General features: G+C 37.5%; 1 protein-coding gene across 2 annotated transcripts in view; it reads right to left on the reverse strand.

Moving 5' to 3' along the window:
- Window positions 4,650-25,667, reverse strand: part of PROS1 (protein S) — a 100,846-nt gene continuing 79,828 nt past the window's right edge. For both annotated transcript variants that reach the window (NM_000313.4, NM_001314077.2), the window contains 6 exons: window positions 24,532-24,721; window positions 17,935-18,102; window positions 16,327-16,495; window positions 10,762-10,913; window positions 8,565-8,790; window positions 4,650-6,004 (listed from right to left, as the gene is read on the reverse strand). In NM_000313.4, coding sequence (NP_000304.2) covers window positions 5,844-6,004; window positions 8,565-8,790; window positions 10,762-10,913; window positions 16,327-16,495; window positions 17,935-18,102; window positions 24,532-24,721 — 1,066 coding nt within the window. In that variant the 3' untranslated portion in view covers window positions 4,650-5,843. The remainder of the gene's footprint in view (window positions 6,005-8,564; window positions 8,791-10,761; window positions 10,914-16,326; window positions 16,496-17,934; window positions 18,103-24,531; window positions 24,722-25,667) is intronic.

Below are 25,667 nucleotides of genomic sequence, written 5' to 3' on the forward strand. Positions count from 1 at the left end.
TTCCTTCCTTCCTTCCTTCCTTCCTTTCTTTCGTTTTTTTTGAGACAGGGTCTCACTCTGTCACCCAGGCTGGAATGCAGTGATACAATCATGGTTCACCACATCCTCAACCTCACCTGGCTCAAGTGATCCTCCCACCTCAGCCTCCTGAGTAGCTGGGACTACAGGCATGGGCGACCAGGTATGGATAGCTTTTTGGGTTGTTTTTTTTTATTATTATTTTTTTGTAGAGACAGGGTTTTGCCATGTTGTCTAGGCTGATCTCTGACTCCTGGGCTCAAGCCATCTGCTGGCCTCAGCCTCCCACAGTGGGATTACAGGCGGGAGCCACTGCACCTGGTCCCTCTCCTCTTTCTTATATGCTTATCTGGTGTGGCATCAATTTGTCGCTATCTACTGCTATTTGTTTACAAAAAAAGTAGATATTTATTTTTCTATTATTTCTCCATCTCCTCTTCACCCTCCTCATCAAGTATCTTTCTATATTCTTTACTTTTCTTTCCCTCATTTTCAATTTTTATCTTACCAAATCTTTCACTGAATTTGTTTCCTACCTTTCTTGTTTTATGTCTTCTCTTTGTTGTCTTTTTCTCTCCTCCTGGTTTTGTACACACACACACCTGTTCTTCCTCCCTACCTCCCTATCCTTCTTTTTCCTGTCTCGCTTTTTGTTTTTTTTGTTTGTTTGTTTGTTTGTTTTTCTTTTTGAGACAGAGTCTCACTCTGTCGCCCAGGCTGGAGTGCAGTGGTGCGATCTCGGCTCACTGCAAGCTCCCCCTCCCGGGTTCACGCCATTCTCCTGCCTCAGCCTCCCGAGTAACTGGGACTACAGACGCCCACCACCACGCCTGGCTAATTTTTTGGTATTTTTAGTAGAGACGGGGTTTCACCGTGTTAGCCAGGATGGTCTCAATCTCCTGACCTCGTGATCCGCCCACCTCGGCCTCCCAAAGTGCTGGGATTACAGGCGTGAGCCACCTCGCCCAGCCTCATGTCCTGTTTTTTAACTCATCCTTTGGCTTTATGTCTGTTCTTATCTGTGTATGTGTGTGTGTGCATCGTGTATGCACACCCCTCACATGTGCACAGAAGACAGGAGAGGCAAGGGGAGGAGTGCATGAGGTTAGAGAGCTACCCACAGAGACTGAATCTGTGGTTTGTAACCCTGGTTTCCCATGAGAATCTTCTGATTTAGTTGTTTGCAAAGGGGTCAATGAATCTAATAAGCCTGGGTTTAGATCTACTGGTTTAATGATGAAACCCCTTGAAAGCCAAGATTAATTATTTTCACCTCATGCAATAACCAATAGGAAAAGAAAGGAGAGTTTTGAGGACTTCAGTGAAATAAGATATCTGTGTGAGAGAGAGAATCTAAAAGCATTGTGGGGGATGGTCACAAAGACAGTACTTGGATGCAGGGAAATGAACAGAAATTCATATCTATCTGTCTTTTTGGGCCTCATTAAATAGCACCTCATTGAGCTTTCATTTAGAATCCATTTCTCCTTCCCAGAACCCCCTGCAAATGTTTATTTCTGCATTTCAGTTTTTACCAAACTCAGGCTCACTTTTTAATTACTTGTCCATGTGTCTGCTCTCCCCTGGACTGAGTACATCAATGGCAGTACCAAGATATTTGCTCCATTGTTTTCTTGGGATTCTTTCTAGCCCACGCTTTTAATTATCTAAGTGTTCAGAGTCAGTGTCAGCATTTGCTTAATTCAGTTAAGTAATATCATACTTAATCTTCAAAATGTTAAAGTGATTAATATTAACAACTGAGATTTAATATCACAACCAGTTATATGTAGAACTGGAGACAGAATTAGTTCTATCCAACCAATTGTTAGATTTGTTGGAATTGTTCATTCCAACCATGTACCATTGACTAAGTGCTGAGATAACTAGTTAGAATATGGATACAGTGTAGTTTCAAATTTGGGTGTGCACTCTTGACCCAGACATCCTGGCTTTTTGCAACTTGCCTTGCAATCTCAGCTTTGCAACTTGGCTAGCTACATGTACGAGGCAGACTAAGACTGTGCCTATTTTTCAGAACAGCCAGTTGTTAGTCCCCTGTGGCCATCTGTACATGCTGAGTTGGCTCAGGAAGATGCTCATCTTCAGAAGATCCAGTGTCAGCCCGAGTGTTCAATTTGGCTTTATTTAAATTAATTTTTTTCTATTTATTGTTTGGGACCTCCAGAAAATAATGCCAGATTCTTCCTATGTCAGTTAAATATTGGCCTGTTCTCCCTTCTCTTCAAATCAACTTGAGGAAGGATTTGATGTATCAAGTGGGGACACCCCAATTACAGAATGAGATTCCAGATTTCTCAGTTTGAAATGTTAGCAGGAAAGAGAATCAATCACCAGCAAATTGCAGGTATTACTTTACAATTTCTTTCCCATGAAAATAGGATTCTCTTTGAGGAGGGCTTGTTATGGCAAGTAGATTAGCAGAAATGAGTCTGTAAATTCACCAAATGCTATTCTTATCCACAGGTAAGACAACTGCTACACCATGGCACGTCCAAAGCACTACAGAGTAATGGACTGCAGATCAGGAAATACCCTCCAACCTCGCTGGTTTTCAACTTGTTCCAAACCTCCCCATACTCAGTTCCCCTCTATTTCTGACACTCTTAGCTTCACAACTTGAAGCTAAGATCTTTTTCCATTGTCAGTTTGACCTCGTAATCTGGCCTTGCACTGTTTATATTATTAATAATATGTACCCAAAACCCATGTATGCTGACCCAGGTAACTGCCCCCACCTTCGCATTCTGCAAACACAAATACAAGATAGCCAGAGGTTATCTTGGACAGCACTAGATGAACCCCTAAGCAATGTCTCTGCCATAGAAGATCCAGTTTTCAAATATAAGTTCTCTGAAAGCTCAAAGCTTGCTATAGCGAGAAACTCGTGTGCAAGACCACCATCAAAACAATCTTCTTCATAAGGAGCAAACTACTGACCAAAAGTTTTTTTTGTTGTTTGTTTGTTTTTTTGAGACAGTCTCACCCTGTTGCCCAGGCTGGAGTGCAATGGCATAATTTTGGCTCACTGCAACCTCCACCTCCCGGGTTCAAGCGATTCTCCTGCCTCAGCCTCCCGACTAGCTGGAATTACAGGCACCCGCCACCACACCCAGCTAATTTTTGTATTTTTAGTAAAGACGGGGTTTCACCATGCTGGCCATGGTCTCGAACTCCTGATCTCAGATGATCTGCCTGCCTGGGCCTCCCAAAGTGCTGGGATTATAGGCGTAAGCCACCACACCCGGCCGACCAAAAGTTTTATCACTTCAATTTCTTAGGATGACCAGAAAAGAGCTGCTTCGTAGCTCCAAGGAACAGGAACCTGAGGACTACCAAGGGCCAACTTGAGTATTGTGACTTCCTATTCCATTGGGTTTAGCCCGCAGACATACTACTTTTGACTCCACATGCACAGAGTAGAGTAGGTGCTTGATAAATATTTGTTGCTGAATGAATGAATTAGAAATTGATCATACTTGCCCTTTGAGTCTCTAGTGACCGTGTCATCTCCCAAATCAATATTAATACCAACATGATGAAATCTAAAAATTATTTCAGATATTCATCTTCTTTATTATTTCAGTTCCCACCGATGATAGCAACTAAAGGTCCAGGGAAATGCAAAAATAAATAGGCAATTATTTTGTGAAAAATTTTCACATGAAAAAGTCCTCTTTCCAGTAATCCCACCAGTTCCTTAATTCTAGAATGAAAAGAAAATTGGAAATACTTTATTGTATTGGCATATAGGGACTGAGACTAGAATTATACTTTCAGACAGGAGAAATTAGGTGAATAGTCCTGTTCTTACAGATTAACCATTGCTTTCACTGATCCATCACTGACCGCTGCAAATGGTTAAGTTCTATTACCATCTCACATAACATGTTCAAAAAGTAAAAAGAAAAAAGAAAGCTTTTTCAAAAGGTGAATTCTAAGGGACTCTGTAATGGCCCTGTTATTTGGAGTTTTTTTTACTTATATACAAAGCTGAAATGGCACCAAATATCCACTTTGCCTTGTTCTCTACCAACTCTTTAAAAGTAGGAATCTATATTTCTTGGCAAAGTTCAAAACTAAACATCAATCAAAGATTCTTAGCCATAGGTCTAGACCCTCTCTCTAGGCATGTATGAGCACATCTCAAAGGTAGATGAAATTTATAAATGCGTCTCTGGAGCCTCTACGAGCATCATTGCATGTGGGAAGGTTTCTGCTCCTGATGTGAAAGGTAGAATTGATCCCTATATCTGACCTGTATGTGGCATAATCAAATGAAAAGCAGGGAACTCCGCCCCTTTCTTTCACTTTTTTTTCCCTCTCTCATGTATGTTTTCTCTGTTTTTCTTTTTCCTTGCTCTTTTACATGAATGTAATTATCAATAGTCACTTGCTGATATTCATCCCCCATAGTACCTGGTGGCAATTGGGAAACAAATTATATTTAGCAAGACAATTTATGGTTTGTGTCAAAAGATACATGTTACTTTTGCTTCTCTTCACCTTCTGAGCTCCAGTCTACCACCCAACCATAAATATTATTCAAATATTGGAGCTTTATCTGTCTTTTAACTGAAGAACTACTTCGTTGTATGAAGAGTTAAATGTCTATTATGTAATTTTGTTTTATTCAAACAGTTGATATAATAAAGATATTCACATGCATTTTAAAATTATACACCGATTTATTATAAGTGATATAAAATACAGTGAAAAGAATTTATTGTTAAAAACTGTCAGTGAAACATCTGATACACATCTGGCTATGAATGGTAGATTCAAACGTGATAAAACTGCCACTTGAAATGCATCACAGTACCAGCAGGCACGTGGCAATCTTACCTCCTTACTTCTTTGATTACAATGATACGATATTCACTATATCCCTCTGTGGTTGTCCTTTTGTTAAAATTTGTTCTGGTTTTCATAGTTCCTTTTGTACTTCAACAATCACATTTTGGCAACTTACTCTGGTAATTAAAAGTTGGATTCAAGGAAAACTATGAACTCCCACATTTGTTCATTCTCCTTTCCATCCCTGAATTCTGTCTTTTGTAATGTAGACCTTGTGTGACCCACACAGCAAAATTTAAAAAATGTACCCACTTCAGATTTCCCCACCTATCCAACCTAATCTGATATCTCATCCTGACAGACTGCAGCTGCCAAGAAGAAGATTCCTGTGCTGCTCTCAGGAAAATATGTCCCACTTGTTTTCTAATTCAATAAAGATACTGGTTTAAATGTGAAGCCACACAAGAGAAAGATGAAGCCAAAGCTGTTCCCCCTGAGGAATTGTTTTGAAATAAGGCATTAGGACCCTCCATTCAATTCATATTTAATAGACCACCATCTCTTCTGCCTTCATCAGGAAAAAAACAAAAACATAAACAAAATAGTATCTGCCTATGATTAATAGTATTTAATTACACGCACTTTTGTTTGAGTTTACTTCCTTGCTTTCTGAAAAAAACATAGGTATTTAGACACTAGTTCATGATGATAAAATTAAAATTTAGTTTTACAAACAAAAATTGAAACTGTCATTTGTAGGAAAAAAATTCAAATTTAAAATTGTTATTTTTCACTATTCTTAGATAGCAAGAGAAGTAAGAATTTCTTTACTGTGATTTATATCACAACAGAATTTTTTTCCTTGACAAAGGACCTTTTAAAAATCCCAGGAAAGGACCACAAAATAATCAAAGACTGCACATTGTAAATAAAACCCTTCAGCTGTTATTGAAACATAAGTATAATTACACACAAGGAAAAGGTATTATAAGCAGAGAAAAGATGCCTTAAGAATTCTTTGTCTTTTTCCAAACTGATGGACATGAGTGAGCTCTAATATCATTATGTTTAGAAATGGCTTCATCCAGATCCAACTGTACACCATTAATATTCACTTCCATGCAGCCATTATAAAAGGCATTCACTGGTGTGGCACTGAATGGAACATCTGTAAAAGGAAAATATTAGAATATTAGTCCAAGACTTTTAGCATCTTGTTTGTTTACAGTGAGAGAAGTCATTCAGACTTCCTGTTTCCAACCAAATTCTAATCCTAAAGGAAAAGTTAATAGTGAAATTCTATTCCATAAATACATGTTAAGTGACGCCGATATACATGTTACTGTACTTCATTGAATTCAGCATGTCATGAGTTCCTCAGATTTCATAAACACAATTAGTTCCATTTAAACTTAAACACATTTGAGGGAGAGTAGAAACAAGCATATTCTTGTGATATTCTATTTTTATTATACAAATAACATACTATTTTCTCTTTAAACTTAAGCAACAGTTTAAGCATTGTTAAATCATTTTCTTAACTCCAAATTATAGCTACTTGGGAATCTCTTTTAAATGTCATGATCAATATATCTCTTTTATTATTGTTGGAATAAAAGCAGATTTCTGTATTTTTCCAAAGAAACAATTTTTTTGTTGAGCATACAATAGGTCATGATACAGGATTCACTTTCATGTACTATTTAGAGTTCCTAAAAATAACAATTTTCCTTCCTCTTTTTTGGCCTCTCCTCTCCATTAATCTTAACTCACAATGGATATTCTTTAGCCCTTATTCTTCATCTTCAGTACCTTATGCCAAAAAAAAACCTTTAAATTTTCAACTTCTAACTTGCCAACACAGTGAATAAAGTTCCTACTTTACTATGACTGTGAGCTCATAGCATTTGTTAAGAATCCCTTTCAAGTTGGGCTAAACATCATAGATTATGCCACTTTTCCTTTTTTGAGAAAAGAAATTACTCAAATTCATTCGATTTTGAGGAAAGAAATTACTCAAAATCATTCATTTCTCTTGGGTTTTAGTACTTCACATGGAATTTTACATGCCTACTTTGCATGTAATTAATAATTTACCCATCTCACAGTTTATACTCTTAATATCTCAATATTTAGCTCCTCTCAAATCTTCCCCACTCTTTCTCTCAAGACATTTTGCCTGAAGTTAGTCCTCAGTGCTGTTGCCAAAATCCCGAAACCACTGAAATTTTGATAATTCTACTTCTTTTAAACTCTTTGTTGGTTTGATTTCCTAAAATTGCATTCAACTAACTTGTGGATAAGGTAGTAGGTAGATTTCAATATAGAATTTATTCATTTAAACTATAATTTTACTCCCTAATAATTAGGCATGCTCACTACTTACCTCTATCTATCTATCTATCTATCTATCTATCTATCTATCTATCTATCTATCTATCATCTATCTATCTGTCTGTCTTTCTATAGCTTTTAAAGCCTATTTACTTCTATTTCCCAAAACCCCAGATACAATTTCCATATATGGGAAATCAAGACCATGAGCAGTTTAAGCAGTATATTGAAGGTTATCAGAGGTCCAGACATCAAACTCAGAATTCTCCCCATGAGAATAAATTGCAAATGTCATCTGAAAATGCTTCTAAATAACTTTCTGCCTCTAATTTTCCATTTAAAGTGAAATATTGGTGCCAATTTCATATTTTCCAATATTCAGTTAAAGATGAATCTGTTTTTCCTCCAGTTTTCCCCATCTTGGTAAATGGAATCTCCATCCATGCAACTGCTCATGCCAGATACCTAAAAGTCATCCTTATACCTGTCTTTCAGTTATTAAATCCTATTAATTTTGTTTCTAACACATATCTCCGATCTATTTACTGTCCATCATCTTCATTGTTATCACCCTGGTCCTGCAGCTTCCTCAGTTTCCTCATCTGTAAAATGGGGATAATAATAGCACTTACCTCACTGGACTATTTTGAAAATTAAACAAGTGGATATATTTGAAGCACGTTAAACAGTGCCCAGACTGTTTGTTTTGCAATAGTTGATGGTAGTTAGATACTACAACTATTGTCACTGCTCACGCCTGTAATCCCAGCACTTTGGGAGGCCGAGGCGAGCGGATCGCAAGGTCAGGAGATCAAGACCATCCTGGTTAACACGGTGAAACCCCCTCTCTACTAAAAATACAAAAAGATTAGCCGGGTGTGGTGGCGGGCACCTGTAGTCCCAGCTACTCGGGAGGTTGAGGCAGGAGAATGGCGTGAACCCAGGAGGCGGAGCTTGCAGTGAGCCGAGATCGTGCCACTGCACTCCAGCCTGGGCGACAGAGCCAGACTCCATCTCAAAAAAAAAAAAAAAAAAAAAAAAAGCTGGATAAATGATAAGATGAACTGAATAATAGATGAATAAATATTGGGTAAATTAGAACAAATATTGAACTTATAAGACTATTGTGATGATGAAATAAAATAACATATCCTTTCTGGCTGGGATAGCCAAATGAAGCAAAACTTGATCAGCCTTAGTTCAACATTTTTAAACTAAACAAAACAAAACAAAAATATGCCAATAAAATGTCGGTACTAGCCCCTAGAAAAAGAATAATGAATACTGGATTTTATGTTCCCTTCTGATGCTTTTTTACTATAATTATATATTTAAAATATTATCGGTTTGATTAAAATATACTTTTTAAAACTGAAGAAAAAGTAAGCAGATACCTGGAAGGCCACCCAGGTATGTGGCCACTTTTGCTTTCATTGCTTTGTCCAAGACGGCAAGTTGTCTTTGAAGGTCTTCATGGGAGATGGTTTCTATTTTAAGTGGTGTCGACAACTCCAGATTGTTTCTGTTGACTCTAAATTCCAGATGAGATTGTTGATCGGAACATAGACTTAGGGCCTGTATCCGATATATTACAGTATTTTCAACAGATAACAGAATATCCTGAAGAGCAGAGCAAAGATTCAATATAAGCAAGGAGTAAGAGTAATGCTGCTTAAGAGTGACTTTTGAGTTTTTGAAAGTCAAAAACTAAATTTCAATAAGGAAAGAAAATGTATGATAGAGCCTCTAAATTTAAGGGAAAAATCACTAATTATTATAAGACTAATTTATAATAATTATGACTAAAATTTAAAATACACATTAGTTTTACAAACTCAAAGTTTAGCTAAAATATAAATGTATACTGGTTTCTGAAAATTCCGTAAAACAACCGGAACCTATAGGAGTGTCTTATATCTTTCTGTTTATGAGCCTTCCTAATTTCCAAGTTTACATATGAAAAGGGAAGGAGTTGAATCACTCTTTGTTGAGAAAAGACTTGGGAAATTTAAAATGCTTTAGTAAGCATATGCCAGCAGGACTAACAGGTTTCTTTGTGCCACACAAGCAATCCTACAGACTTGGGATAAAATAAATGAAGAGGCCCTGAGAAAGAAAAACCAGGGATTGCCACCAGCACGTTATAGAACATTTACCAGAAGATTCTACAGAAAGAAAATGTGTTCATTCTGCTGAACCTTTCAAACTGCCGTTATGCCTAAATTACTCAATGTGTTGAGTGTGATCTCTTCATATAGCTTATATGGCATAGAGGAAAGTGATAAAAACATAATCAGAAATGTTTATTTAGGAATCCAAGATACCTATTTTAAGTGAAAAGACTAACTTTGCAAATATAGGTTACTTGAGGAAATCTGTTATTGTGTTGTACATGTCCGTATCCTTAAACTCATTAAAAGAGATTGTCAATAAAGAAAATGCTCCAAAATGATCAATGATATCTGGAATAATGTTATGAAATATTGCATAGACCTTGAGAAGGAAATCTGACATGCAAAGAAAGAACCACGGAGGCAAACACTCAAAGGATAAATTAAATATCAAAGACATGGCATGCGTTAACCTCCTCCACTGCATGAATGTAGTGTTTAAGATAAGAATTCCATTTTGTTTAAAAAGAAAAACAAACTAGCAAACAAAAAACCCCTGAAATCCAAATGTAGAAAGCTCCTTAAAGGCAGGAGATTAAAACAAAAACAAAAACAAAAAAAAACTCATCAGGATATTTTTAGGTTACTTATGGTTAACCACCAGAAACTTCCCATCCTCCTCCCTGAATCATACTTTAAGTTGCAAACAGCATAACTTGTTTTACTACAATAGACATTATTCAACCACAGGTCTCTTTCTAAAATCTACTGAAAGCATCCAAGTCAGCCTTGGCATAAACATCAGCTTCTTGCTGTAACTTGTTAGAATGCACTGTGGATGACACATAGACAGAACGACTATGCTCTAATAGAAGTCTGAATAATACAGATTTTCTGATAACCCTCATATTTCCTTTCATCTAAGGCTTTTTCGTGTTCTTCCTCCTAATTTCAAATAAGAGTTGCCAGTAAGAAACCAAGTGGACCAGTTTTAACTTTCTCTCTTTTTTCCTAACTTACTCTTGGGAGAAAAGATTAAGAGTGTAAGAAAGAACAAAACATTATAATTAAGCACTGAATATCTGACAGTGCACTGTAATTAGACTCACTTCTATGTTGACAGTACAGACTAATTCCCACAACACATAAAGTATTCTTAATAAGGGTGGATCTCTATGTACTCGGATGGCTCCAAGCAGCCTGTGTGAGAGTCTGCCTAATCTTAGGTATAGATGCAGTAGGTTTTTCATTCCTCCCTCCCCTTACTTCTTCATTCAGACCTTGGAAACAAGCCAGAAAAAAAGTAACAATAATAGACATTTTTTGAGTCCTTAATGATGTGCTGGAGATTGTGCCAAACACTTTACATAAGTTACTTTATTTAATCTTCAAAATAGTCCTTTGAGGTAAATACTGCTATGTATACATTTTAAAAAATGAAAAGAAAAACAAGGCTTATATAGGTTTAGAGTTAAGTTACCTGTGATTTTTCAGAGGTGGAGTCCACCAAGGACACAGCAAAGGGCACTGTGTTGTTACCAGAAACCAAGGCAAGCATAACACCAGTGCCCGTGGATGGACGAATATTCAAGGTCACATTTACATGCCAACCCTCAGCACTGGATACATTATCTATTTAAAATAATGAAACAGAAGCATGATCAATGCACTCCTAAAGTGCATCAGAAGGAATTATTATTAACACAGTCCAGGTAATATTCAAAACTATCTTGTGTAATACTATTTCCATTCCCTTTCTCAATGATCTATATAACCTAGGCAAAACAAAACAAACTTTTTTGTAATGCAGGCAAGAAACATGCAAATGGAGTACCATCTTCCCGTTCTTCCTAGAAGAGAATTCTGGATTGTGGTGTTAAGGATTATCATGGATTTTCCCAGTTTGCTCTTTAACAGTGCTTCCTTCTCCCTTGCACATTCACCAATGCTCAAATCTCAGAGTGGTCATATTTCCAAGCACACGTTTGAAAATTCAACAAATTTACTGTAATAATTTAGGGAAAATCTGGGTACAGTTGCCATCATCACTCCAAAGGATAAATATGATCTATATACATAGGAGAGTTGGATAGTTCGATACTAGAGAAATACACTGACATCAGCAGTTAGTTTTGAAATCAGAATAGGAACCCTTGTTTTGTGAATCTCTTGTCATAATCCTTCACATTCTCTTTCTTAATTACTAGGTTAATTGTCTATCCCACTAACATGCAAGCTCTAGGAGGTATATATCTCTATCATTGCTTTGTTTTCCCCAGCACTCACTCAATAGATATTTGTTGAATTAATATGTTTCCAGAATAGTTGGATTACTAAAAATATTAGTTCATAATCTGAATGAAGTCTTCCTCATTTAATATGATGTAACATACAGCAAAGCCCAAATACCACACGGAGCCCTTGAAAGGGTAAATGTGAATAAGGAAAATCATTTTCCTTTGACAAGATGTTCTTCCACTTAGCCACATATAATGTCACTGTTTTTCATTATAATCCTGTAACTCCCATCCAGAAGAAAAAAAATATATAGACCGGGTACGGTGGCACATGCCTGTAATCCTAGCACTTTGGAATTGCCTGAGCTCAGGAGTTCGAGACCAGCCTGGGCAACATGGTGAAACATCTCTACTGAAAAAAAAATACAAAAAATTAGCCGAGCATGGTGGTGTATACCTGTAGTCCCAGCTACAACTCGGGAGGCTTGATTCAGGAGAATCGCTTGAACTCAGGAGGCAGAGGTTGCAGTGAGCTGAGATCACGCCACTGCACTCCAGCCTGGGAAAAAGAGTGAGACTCTGTCTCCAAAAAAAAAAGAATGTTTATATGTAATCATTGTGAAATAAGTAATTTTTAATTGATATATCATAATTGCACATATTTTGGGGTACATATGTCATTTGATAAATGCATACAATGTGTAATGCTCAAATCAGGGTAATTGGAATTTCTATCACCTAAACATTTATCTTGAAATAAGTAAATTTAACACAGAATATTAAACTCAAACTAAAATGAACACACGAATGTATAGAAGTTAAAATGTAACATTAAATATTAATTACAAAGTAGATCACTTACAAATTATCCATGAAATGATTAATTACTTATTAAAGTAATTTTTTTAGATACAATATAACTCTTATTTTCATTACCTTTTCAGGATTTTTTTCCTTTGGCCAAATCACCATGGATTTAGTTTTATCCTAATTTAATCCTCACCCCATTTATAACTTTAAAAAAATCTTTCATAGGCAGAACAGAACTAGGCATTGTATCAATTTGTGTTAGAAAAAGGGAAATCATTTTTGTAAAATTTGTCCTTAAAAATACAGTAAAAAAGGCTGGGCACAGTGGCTCATGCCTGTAACACCAGCACTGGGAGGCTGAGGCAGGAGTATCACTTGAGTTAAGGAATTTGAAAACTGACCTGGGCAACACGGGAAGACCCTGTCTCTGCAAAACATAAAAATTAGCAAGGCATGGTGGCATGTGGCTGTAGTCCTAGCTACTTGGGAGGCTGAGGCAGGAGGATTGCTTGAGCCCAGAAGGTCTAGGTTACAGTGAGCCATGATTGCACCACTGCACTCCAGCCTGGATGACAGAGAGAGACCCTGTCTCAAAAACAAACAAACAAATGTAGTAAATATAGACTACGAAAGATGGGAGGGTGGGAGGAGGGTAGGGGTTGAAAAATTACCAATTGGGTATCATGTTCACTATTTGGGTGATGTGTACACCAAAAGCCCAGATTTCACCACTACACAATATATCACAATATATGCATGTAAGAAATCTGCACTTGTACCTCCTAATTACATAAAAATTTAAAAATGTATTTTAATGTAGTAAGCACTTTTTTTTTTTTTTTTTTTGTGAGACATGCTCACACTCTGTCATCCAGGCTGGAGTGCAGTGATAAGATCCTGGCTCTCTGCTGTGTCAACATATTGGGCTCAAGCCATCCTCACACCTCAGCCTCCTGAGTAGCTGGGACTACAGGTGCATGCCATCAGGCTTGGCTAATTTTTGTATTTTTTGTGAAGATAGGGTTTCACCATGTTGCCAAGGCTGGTCTTGAACTCTTGGGCTCTAGCTCTTTGGGATCTGCCCGCCTCAGCCTCCTAAAGTGCTGGGATTATAAGTGTGAGCCACCTTACCTCGCCCTTTTTAGGTTACAAATAAACACAATTAAAATGTAATTTTTTTCTTAAAGCAGAGATATCACATTAGTGTTAACAATTTATAATGCAAAGTGTTAGTAGCTCAAATAATGAACTACTAAAAAAGAAAAAGACAAAGAATTCAATAAAATAATTAGAATTTATAAATAGCTAATAAACATATGGGAGGATATTCAAGTTCAGTAGAAATTAGAGAAATAATATTAATATTCAAACCTACAAAATTTAATTTTTGAACTATCAGATTGGAAAAAAACTAAAGCATACACTTTCTCATTCTGTTGGTAGAAATATTAATTGATAAAAGATTTTTGGAAAAGAATGTAATTGAACCTCTAATAATTATATATTTGCATAACCTTTGATAGAGATAACCTAATTCTAAAATTTTCTTCCATAGAATTAATCACATAAAGGTAGAAGGATGTATGATTTAGGATGTTCACAGAAGTATTACTTCTAAGGTTAAAAACCTAGGGTCAGTATGGCAAGATTCCCTGCTCCACTTAGGCTGTAGAAAAGTGGAAAGGGCACCACTCCCACCCTTACAACAACAAAAGCCAAATTATCTGCATAATCATGACTTTTCTTGAAACTATCAAAGAGCTGAGGTCGCAGAGCAACAAACTAACCAGAAACCTAAAGAAAGACAGGTGTTTCCAAGGAAAGCCAGAATGAGAACACTTTCTAATCCAGGGCAGACAGGAAATGCCATGCAATTTGGTAAAAATAATTTAGGTAAAGATTTAAACAAATTGCTGAACTCCATGTAGGGGCTGACGTAAGAGTTTAGAAGCCCTAGAAATTACAGACACAAAGACAATTCATGCTCATTCACAGGCTCTTCTCCACAGACCTTACCATGCACTCAAGAGAAAACAGAGTGCAGGGAAGGAGATCCGAAAAAGCCTCTCTCTTAATATGGTCCTGAAAGCAGCACCAGCTACAGGGAAGCCACAAAGCCCCATCTAGATCCTTCTCGGTCTCCTCTACACAACACAAGTTTTCAAGCCAGGAGAAAGGCAGCAAACCTTGTCATTAGGACACATATGAAGACTCATTGCAACTACAGATTAGGAAGAACAAACAAAAAAAGCTATCTATCATGCAGAAGGAGCAAGAAAACATATTGAGTCCTGATCACTAGACATCTCCCCTACTGATGAGAGTCAGGGAAGAGGAACAGTGAAAATTCCACACTCCTGAGACCCAGGGATACAACACCTGCCTAAGACTGAATTTGTACGACAACAACATAGAATGCTTCCCCAACCTCCGCATCTTCTCTGCCATGTTAGCAAATGTCAGGTAACAAGAGCACTCTGCTAGGGGTGGGCAAGACACTTGAGAGACACAAGTGGGAGAGACATTTTCTTGAGGCGTATTATGGAGGGAATACATAAAACTGAGCTGCTATGATGAAAAACTCTCTAGGCCAGGCACGGTGGCTCAAGCCTGTAATCCCAGCACTTAGAGAGGCTAAGGCAAGCAGATCACCTGAAGTCAGGAGTTTGAAACCAGCCTGGCCAACATGGCAAAACCTCGTCAAAAATACAAAAATTAGCAGGGCATGGTGGCGCACCCTTGTAATTCCAGCTACTCAGGAGGCTGAGGCATGAGAATCACTTGAACCTGCAAGGTGGAGGTTGCGGTGAGCCGAGATTGTGGCACTGAGCTCCAGCCTGGGTGACAGAGTGAGACTCAGTCTCAAAAAAAAAGAAAAAAAGAAAGAAAAGAAAAAGAAAAACTAGCTACCAAACCATTCCCTTATTCTAAGCAGAAGGTAGTATTTTGAAAATCTGAGGCTGGGTGCGGTGGCTCACACCTGTAATCCCAGCACTTTGGGAGGCCAAGGGGGTGGATCATGAGATCAGCAGTTCAAAACCAGCCTGGCCAAAAACACAAAAATACAAAAATTAGCCGGGCGTGGTGGCGGGCGCCTGTAGTTCTAGCTACTCAGGAGGCTGAGGCAGAAGAATCACTTGAATCCAGGTGGCAGAGGTTGCAGTGAGCCAAGATTGCATCACTGCACCCCAGCCTGGGTGACAAAGTGAGACTCCATCTCAAAAACAAAACAAAACAAAATAAAAGATCTGAAACCTGTGGTGCATTAAGGGTAATCCTGGCACCAACAAAACTTAAGAAGCTCAACTTTTCACTAGATTGATTCAATCCCATTACTAAGAGCCTAGCAAAAGAAATGTGCTCATTTCCAGACACAAATATTCTTTATCTCAGTCTCTACTGTTATACGTAAGATGCCCAAATCTAAACCAAAAATTACATGGTACACAAAGATGCAAGAAAAACAACACTTGGTCAAGGGACAAAGCAAACAAAATGACGAGACTCAGATATGACACAGTTGGAACTACGAGACAGGGAATTTAAAATAATTATGATGAATACATTGAAAACTCAGTACATAAACTAGACAAGTGTGAACAGATAGGGAATTTCAACAGGGAGGTAGAAATTTTAAGAAAGCATCAAATAGAAATGCTAGAAATGAAGATGAATCTTTCTGATGCATTCATTGATAGACTCCATACAAGTGAGAAATCAGTGAACTTTAAAATAGGTCAATTGAATTTACCCATAAGGAATCAGGCTATGTACTGATAAACCTGAAATAACAACACAAGCACATTCAAATGCCTTTATATTTTTCCCAATACACTGAAAAATTTTTGTAAAAGGTATATAATAGTATGAATAAGCATAAGACTAGAGTGGGCACACAGTAGATACTCAATAATGTTTCACAAATAAATTATTACTGTTTGTTAATGAATAAATTTACTCATTAATGAGAAAATAGAGATAAATGGAAAATCACTTACTATAATCTATGTGAAATTGAGCAATTCCAGAACCAGGATAGTAGGAGCCCTTCTCCACAGTAACCAGGCAATGCTTATTTTGTTTTTCTTGAATAATTTCCTTTATTCCAGAAGCTCCTTGCTTCATCAAATTCCAGCTTCGTATACATCCATCTAGACGAGGGTTAATCTAACAAATTAAAATACAAGTCAAGGAGTGCATTTTAAACTTAAACAGTGGCTCGATTATGAGTATAGGTTTTCATTAAGAGAAAAAAAATCCTTTCTTTGATAATAGTTGAAAATATTTTGAATTTTATTTAAGTTTTTCTTTTCAAAGTATTCTTCAGATGGACAGTCTTTTTCAGTACAAGCAAGCTCATACTATCACAAGCCCTCAGTGGGATCTTAATGGTTTTTAACACTTCAAGCCCCACCTGCCTCTCCTACATCATCCAGTGGTAACTTTTCTGCTTTCAAGTTCTATATTTGCTTCTAGCTGTGGCCCTGGGCTCTAAGTTGTCTTGTTTATCTTCTTTGTTTGTTTGATTGAGATGGAGTCTTGCTGGAGTGCAGTGGCAGGATCTTGGCTCACTGCAACCTCTGCCTCCCTGGTTCAAGCGATTCTCCTGCCTCAGCCTCCTGAGTAGCTGGGATTACAGGTGCCCACCACCACGCCTGGCTAATTTTTGTACTTTTAGTAGAGATGGGGTTTTGCTACATTGGCCAGGCTGGTCTTGAACTCCTGACCTCAGGTGATCCACCCGCCTCGGCCTCCCAAATTGCTGGGATTACAGGTGTGAACCACCACGCCTGGCCTTGTTTTTCTTTAGTGGCATTTATAATATGGGTTTGTCTTGCCAATCAGACTCTAAGTCTCTTCAGACACAAAAGTGTTTGCATTCTTTAGCCTCCATCAAGTATCCTGCCAGGCTCAAGACATGTAATAACCGTTTCATAAATGATTGATACTTTTTGAATAATTTATTTTACTTTTAAAGTGTATTAATTTCTCAGTTTCAAACAACAGGTATACTCATGTCAACATGGGTTAATTAATTCAAGCTTAATATCATATAATGGAAATCTTTTAAAAGTTAAAGTAACTACGAATTTCCAGAGAATGAAAGACGGATGTAAGATAGTAAATATTTAACAATAAATTTCACCTTATGTGCTATTCTTTAGCTCTTGCATTTAAGTCCTAAAAATAGACTTGAGAAAGTCCTTTGACTGGCTTTTACAAAATGGTGTAATTTTGGACTTAAATATATGAATTTATATGTTTAACAACTGAGTATGGATTATCATGATGTTAACACTGAACATTACATTACTAATGTTAACATTAGTGTTAACATTCTCAAGTGTTAACTTGAGAATTTTAGAAATCCACTTCATGATTTATGCTGGGGATTTAAATGGGCACAAAACCACTACGTCATTTTTTTATTTCATTAATATAATTTCAAGGGTTACTAATGTTATTTTTCCATGATCATTTCAAGTTGTCACACTTAGTATGCTTAACAAAACAACTTCTATTGATTCTCAGAAACACACATATTCAAATCTATTACAGACAAAAGGAACTCATCCATGATGAATGATACAAGCTTGGATCATTACCGGTTTAATGAGTTCACTTTCCACTTTCCGAGGGAATCCTGCAAAGTATACTTTGGTTTCCAGCAATCCATTTTCCGGCTTAAAAAGGGGTCCAGGTTTATTTATATCCATCACAGCTTCTTTAGCTATTTTAATGCTAATACTATGTTCTAATTCTTCCACAGACACCTACAATTAAAAAGAAAAATTACCAAATAACCAAGTATTACTACATGTCATTTGAAATACTGGGATCTAAAACTTATGTTATTATTCCAATAAAATACTTCTGTAAAGTAATCATTTTAATGTAATTATTAATTTGTTACAACTCATTTGGAATGTCAAATTATGATAAATGTGATAAAAAGGCATTTAGGGTGGCAGCACGATCAAAAATTAAAAGCATACCATATTTTAAAGTTAAAAAAAATACTATTCTGTTAAGCTTAAACATCCAGTTATATATCTTTCAATTCCAGGCTGCTAGAAAATTAACAATTAAGTGAGCCATTCTATCTTAGGAAAAATTTAAGTGGCCTTATTTTGCAATTGTCTGATAATACGCACATGGAATCAATAGTGTAAATAAGTTCTTTTTTTTTTTTTTTTTTTGAGACGGAGTCTCGCTCTGTCGCCCAGGCCAGACTGCGGACTGCAGTGGCGCAATCTCGGCTCACTGCAAGCTCCGCTTCCCGGGTTCACGCCATTCTCCTGCCTCAGCCTCCCGAGTAGCTGGGACTACAGGCGCCCGCCACTGCGCCCGGCTAATTTTTTGTATTTTTAGTAGAGACGGGGTTTCACCTTGTTAGCCAGGATGGTCTCGATCTCCTGACCTCATGATCCACCCGCCTTGGCCTCCCAAAGTGCTGGGATTACAGGCGTGAGCCACCGCGCCCGGCCCATAAGTTCTTAATATAAAGTAAGAAAAATCAATATGTTCACTATTCTGTTAATTGCACACAAATTATTTTTTCTTTAAAATTCAAAAGTGATTGAGGCAATAAGAAAAAAATACATAAAATTAAATTGGAGTTTTCCAATTTTGAGAGTTGTTTGGGTTTTTAAAAAAGGTTTCAAGTAAGGGTAAACAACAATAAAAATTCCTTCTACAAAGGCAATTTGAAGAACCACTGCTGCAATCACTTCAAGTAAAACTATAGCACTCAAAGAGCAAACTCTTCACTCACTAACCAATAATATAAGCCAAACAATAAGCATATTAAAACACCATGATAGGAAGGGAAAAACTATCCTCCAACATAAAATAAATTTAGTTACACAAATTTAAAGTTGGTCAACACTCCTTCTTTAATATAGCCAATTAGCAGCATGTGAACAACTATTCTCTCCTTTACAGACTTTCTTAACTTAGCCTACAACACTTGACCCTGATTGCTTCTCTTTCTACACTCTAACCACTACTTCTCAGTCTCCTTTGCTGGATCCTCCCCTCCCCACAGCTCAGGCCCCAGACCTTTTTCCTGTAGCCATGCAAGTATTTTAAGTGAGACACTATGACTCCACTCCAGGGCATTTGGAAAATTTGGAGGTGAGGAACACTTTTATTTGTCACAATGAGTAGGGGCCATGCTGGCACTGCAAGATGATAGACAATCTGCATTATGTACATAGGCTAGTCATGCAGAATTAATAATAATAAGTAATGCAGAACTAATAATAAAATATCAAGTATTCTTAAAATCTTTTGAACATCACTGCTAGGTATTCATGTAGGGAATATTCATGCTTACAATCATCTGAGTTTGTGCATACATAGACACAAAATATTTGCTGCACTATTTTAGCATTCATTACATTTTTCAAGAATGTAATAATCTTGACAACTAAGGATAGATTGATATTTGTTTTGTTCATATCTTTACCAGGAACTTCCCACCACTTTGGAAAATTAATATTACCAATGGCAACACCATGTATGCCCTTAATGGTACTTGAGTTGCTAATTTAACACCCCAGCATTAGTCTTCATTTGTAGCTTTTACTTTATGCATAGAAGCAAGCTTTGACAAGTGTTATAGTTATAGTTGACTACGTATATATTGAAATACATATTATTTTCTTATAAATTACTTTCCTTTTATTTATCCATATTAATATAATAATGACAGAATTATTTTGGTTTTGATTGGGTATATGTGAAGGTAGTTTATATTACTGATACATTTCATTATAGAATAGTAAAGGAGCATTATATATTTTCAGACATTGGATGAGATAGTGTTTGGAACCACTGGTCAACACAAACAGTTTCATGGCCTTAAAACCCCTCTTTATGCTGAGTATTCAAAAATTTTAATTGAAGGCTTAACTTCAAAAATATATCCAGAATCTGACCACTTCTTACCACTCTTACCATCAGCACACCAGTCAAACTGTCATCTTCTCTCCGCTGGGTTATTCCAACAGTCTCCTAACTCCATATCCCCATATCCTGTTATACACTCATTCTCCACTTCTGGTTTCCACAAAGCCATTAGCTTCTGATTGGGATTATCTTTTAAAATGCAAACTAGATCATGTCCCTTCTCAAAACCATCCAGGGCCTTTCAATTTAGCATAAAATCCACATCCTCATCATGGCCTCCAAGGCCCTAGATGATCTTATTCTAGACCACGTTTCTAACCTCATTTTCTAACTACTCTCCCCTGCTGCTACACTACTCTGTGTTATTCCTCAAATACCAAACACATCCTATTCCAAGAAATTCTGTACTTGCTGTTTACATGGTACAGAATCTTTTTATATTCCCTCATTTATTTCTCATGACATGTGCTCTCAAGTCTCAGCTCAGATCTAATCTCATCAGAGATGCCTTTCCTGATTCTATATGCATACTAACCACCATTACTCTCTATGTCTTTGTCTGGCTTTTCTTTTTCCTTATAACATGAATAACTATCTGGCATATTTATTTTTTCATGCATTTGTTGTTTGCGTCTCACCATTAGAACGCAAGCTCCATAAGAGCACTGACTTTTTTTTATTTGCTGTTGTATCTTTACCACCTAGAATAAGGATTAGCACATAGAAGTGCCAATAAATATTTTGCTGAATGAATTATGATACATTTACAATTAAAATTCCTATTAATATTAGACTCATAATCAAAGATAAGATGTAATCATTTATAAATTCACCACGTTTGCCCAAGTGTGCTTTGTTTGTACCTCTAATGTAATGTATTTCATGTTACATTATATTATTTCCCAAAGAAGCATCAGCTACTTATCTGTGAGGTACTAAGCTCTAGAGCAAGGAAAATCTCTTGCTATTGTTGCGGGAAGTCAGGGACCCCGAATGGAGGGACTGGATGGAGCCACAGCAGAGGAACATAAATTGTGAAGATTTCATGGACATTTATTAGTTTTCAAATAATACTCATAATTTCTTACACCTGTCTTACTTTAATCTCTTAATCCTGTTATCTTCATAAGCTGAGGATCTACATCACCTCAGGATCACAACTGTGTTAACTGTACAAATTGATTGTAAAACATGTGTGTTTAACAATATGAAATCAGTGCACCTTGAAAAAGAACAGAATAACAGCGATTTTAGGGAACAAGGGAAGACAACCATAAGGTCTGACTGCGTGCAGGGTCGGGCAAAATAGAGCCATATTTTTCTTCTTGCAGAGAGCCTACAAACGGACCTGCAAGTAGGGAAGATATTGCTAAATTCTTTTCCTAGCAAAGAATATTAATAATTAATACCCTGGGGAAGGAATGCATTCCTGGGAGGAGGTCTATAAATGGCCGCTCTGGCAGTGTCTGTCTTATGCAGTTGGGATAAGGACTGAAATACGCCCGGGTCTCCTGCAGTACCCTCAGGCTTATTAGGGTGGGGAAAAAACCCCACCCTGGTAAATTTGAGGTCAGACCAGTTCTCTGCTCTCAAAACCTGTTTTCTGTTGTTTAAGATGTTTATCAAGACAATACGTGCACCGCTGAACATAGACCCTTATCAATAATTCTGCTTTTGCCCTTTGGCTTGTGGTCTTTGTTGGACTCTTTATCAGTAGTTTCTGATTTTGCCCTTGTCCTGTTTCCTCAGAAGCATGTGATCTTTGGTCTCCTTTTTGCACTTTGAAGCATGTGATCTTTGTGACCTACTCCCTGTTCTTACACCCTCTCCCCTTTTGAAATCCTTAATAAAAACTTGCTGGTTTTGTGGCTCAGGTGGGCATCACAGTCCTATCGATATGTGATGTCACCCCTGGAGGCCCAGCTGTAAAATTTCTCTCTTTGTACTCTTTCTCTTTATTTCTCAGCCAGCCGACACTTATGGAAAATAGAAAGACCCTACAATGAAATATTGGGGGCAGGTTTCCCCGATATGCTATAGTTCTAATGCCTTGAACTCAGGAACTTAGCATCAAAAGCACTCACTAAAAGCTTACTGAATAAATGAGTGCATGTCTGCATAAATGAAGGACCAAAATAATTTAGTGATGACCTCACATGACTTCTCAATACAAACTTCTTGTCTGGGTGCAGTGGCTCACACCTGTAATCCCTGCACTTTGGGAGGCTGAGGAGAATTGATCACCTGAGGTCTGAAGTTCAGGACCAGCCTGGCCAACATGGTGAAACCTGTCTCTACTAAAAATACAAAAACTACCTGGGCATGGTGTCAGGCACTGATAGTCCCAGCTACTCGAGAGGCTGAGACAAGAGAATCACCTGAACCCAGGAGGTAGAAGTTGCAGTGAGCAGAGATCACTGCACTCCAGCCTGGGTGACAGAGCAAGACTCCGTCTCAAAATAATAGTAATAATAGTGATGATAAATAAATAAATAACATAAATAAATAAATTGAGATCAGCACAAACTTCTTGCCAGCTCCTCTAGGCATAAAAGATGTCTCTTTTGTGCACCACATTCTAAGGTGAAGCCAATCTTCTCTCAGCTATCCTCTGCTGATGGCAGCAATGACTCTATACTTCAGAAAAGACTTCTCCCCACTATCAACTAGCAGTAATCCCTTCAGAAAAGTCCCACTTTAATCCAGTTGATTAAAGTGCTATTCTTGATCATTAGATTAAAGGCTATATGTAGGATTAAATTAAAATGCTAATTTCTTTTCTTTCTTTCTTTCTTTTTATTTTTGAGACAGTCTTGCTTTGTCACCCAGGCTGGAGTGCAGTGGCGTGATCTCGGCTCACTGCAACCTCCGCCTCCTGGGTTTAAATGATTCTCCTGCTGGGATTGCAGGCGTGCGCCACCAAGCCTGACTAATTTTTGTATTTTTAATAGAGATGGGGTTTCGCCATGTTGGTCAGGCTGCTCTCGAACTCCTGATCTCAGGTGATCCACCTGCCTTGGCCTCCTAAAGAGCTGGGATTACAGGCATGAGCCACTGCGCCCAGCCTAAAATGCTGATTTCTAAGCACACTGGTACCTGCTAATGTATATCATTTGCACAAAAACTGACAACTAGGTCCGGTACAATGGCTCATGCCTGTAATCCCAGCACTTTGGGAAGCCAAAGTGGGAGGAGGATTCCTTGAGTTCAAGACCAGCCTGGGCAACATAGCAAGACCCTGTGTCTATTTTTTTTTAAGGATTACTTATCTATCTGCTTATATTTGAATTTGAATTACCTTTTTAGACTTGTTACTATGTTTATTTCTCCTTACTTTAAAAAATATTGTTGGCAATTGAGGAGTTTTCCTTGATCAGTGTTGTCTTTGCATAAATTGTTATGCCAGCCGGGTGTGGTTGCTCACTCTTGTAATCCCAGCACTTTGGGAGGCCGAAGTGGGTGAATAGCTTGAGCCCAGGAGTTTGAGACCAGCCTTGCCAACATGGTGAAAACCTGTCTCTACTAAAATTACAAAAATTAGCCAGGTATGCTGTTGCACACCTGTAATCCCAGCTACTCAGGAGGGTGAGGCACAAGAATCTCTTGAACCTAGTAGGTGGAGGTTGCAGTGAGGCAAGACCATGCCACGGCACTCCAGCCTGGGCAGACAGAGTGAGACTGTCTCAAAAAAAAAAAATATGCTAGCCGCGGTGGCTCACATCTGTAATCCCAGGACTTTGGGAGGCCAAGGCAAGTGGATCACCTGAGGTCTGGAGTTCGAGACCAGCTGGACCAACACGGAGAAACCCCGTCTCTACTAAAAACACAAAATTAGCCGGGCATGGTGGCGCATGCCTGTAATCCCAGCTACTCGAGAGGCCAAAACAGGAGAATCACTTGAACCTGGGAGGTGGAGGTTGCAGTGAGCTGAGATCACGCCACTGCACTCCAGCCTGGGCAACAAGAGCAAAACTCTGTCTCAAAAAAAAAAAAAAATGTTAGGCCTCCTAATAGTCCCTAACACCACTGTTCACCAAACAGCAACTAAAAAAGGTAAAAAGTTAAAGACAGAGTAGTTCAAGCAAATAACTAAAAACAATGATTCTAATATATTAAGTGAGAATATTATTTCTCAGGATGCTTCAGGGATTTACAGTATGTAGAATATACCTCATATAGCATCAGATAACTCCAAATCCATTTTGGTTTGGTATCACTATAAAAATAAATTATGATTTTATACAGACTGCATCAAAGTGGGAAGATATTGATGAAATCTGCAAACGTACCATATTCCATAGACCATTATTAATAACATCACCTCCAGTTGTGATTTTGGATGTATGTTCATTCTTAAGCTGAACTTCAATCTTTCCACCACGAAGTGCAATCAGGAGCCACGCTGAGTGATCGATAGATTCTGCGTACAGTATCACGCCTTCTGAATCATATGTCCGGAAATCAAATTCTGCTGAAAATCTAAACAATGGACAAAGAGAGATCCTTAAGAGTAAGAAATACAGAAAGCTCAATGCATTATTCTTTTTTTCTTGTACTGACAAACAGTAACACAGACAAAGAGTCAATTATTTATTTCTTTTTCTGGAATTAATAAAAGAGAAGGGCAGAATTAGACTGCTCATGTATTATCTCTGGTTCCATGTACGTTTAAAATTAAGTTATTATATTTTCTTGCTTATTCTTGGAATCTTTTCCCCAGGGAACAGATGCTTTGGTAATTTGTCATCTTTCTTTGACATATATTTTGATAGCACCTTCCAAATGCTGAAATTAATACACAGGTATAAGTATCAGGCATACTATATCTCTCCTGGAGCCTTTTATACACTATATAATCTGACATTAAGAAGTGGTAGTTTTTTTTGTTGTTGTTCTTTTTTGTTTGTTTTTGTTTTTGCTGTATCCATAAGTGATCATAAAATGTGTTACAATTTCATCGTTGGTTTATTCATCAAAAGGCATATTTTCCCTATAATTTCACATGTCAGGAATCACTCGTGGAGATCTACAAGATGGCACATGGATGACTGCAGACATCATTAAGCCTTCATGTGTGGTAAGAAAGGTAAAATTTAAAAACTTAAAATATATCTATTAGCTTTCCTAAAACTCCAGTTGCATAAGTCACTGTTGTAGAATACACAGAAGGAAAACTTAAAAGACATAGTCTACCCATGTGTTTGGGGGGTATCTGAGTGCTGGCAACATCTGTTGCTATTAAGACTCTAGACATATATGTAGCTATTACAGGGGAGAAAAGTCTTAGGATGCAGGACTTAAAATAACATGTGTTGATTCAGTATCCTTAAAACACTTCAATGAGAATCAGCATTGAAGTTTCCAAGGGACTAGCAAATCCACATGATTGACGAAAGACAAACAGGGAAAAGGAACAATAGGTGTA

This window comes from Homo sapiens, chromosome 3 (genome assembly GCF_000001405.40).
Source record: "Homo sapiens chromosome 3, GRCh38.p14 Primary Assembly".
Lineage (NCBI taxonomy): Eukaryota > Metazoa > Chordata > Mammalia > Primates > Hominidae > Homo > Homo sapiens.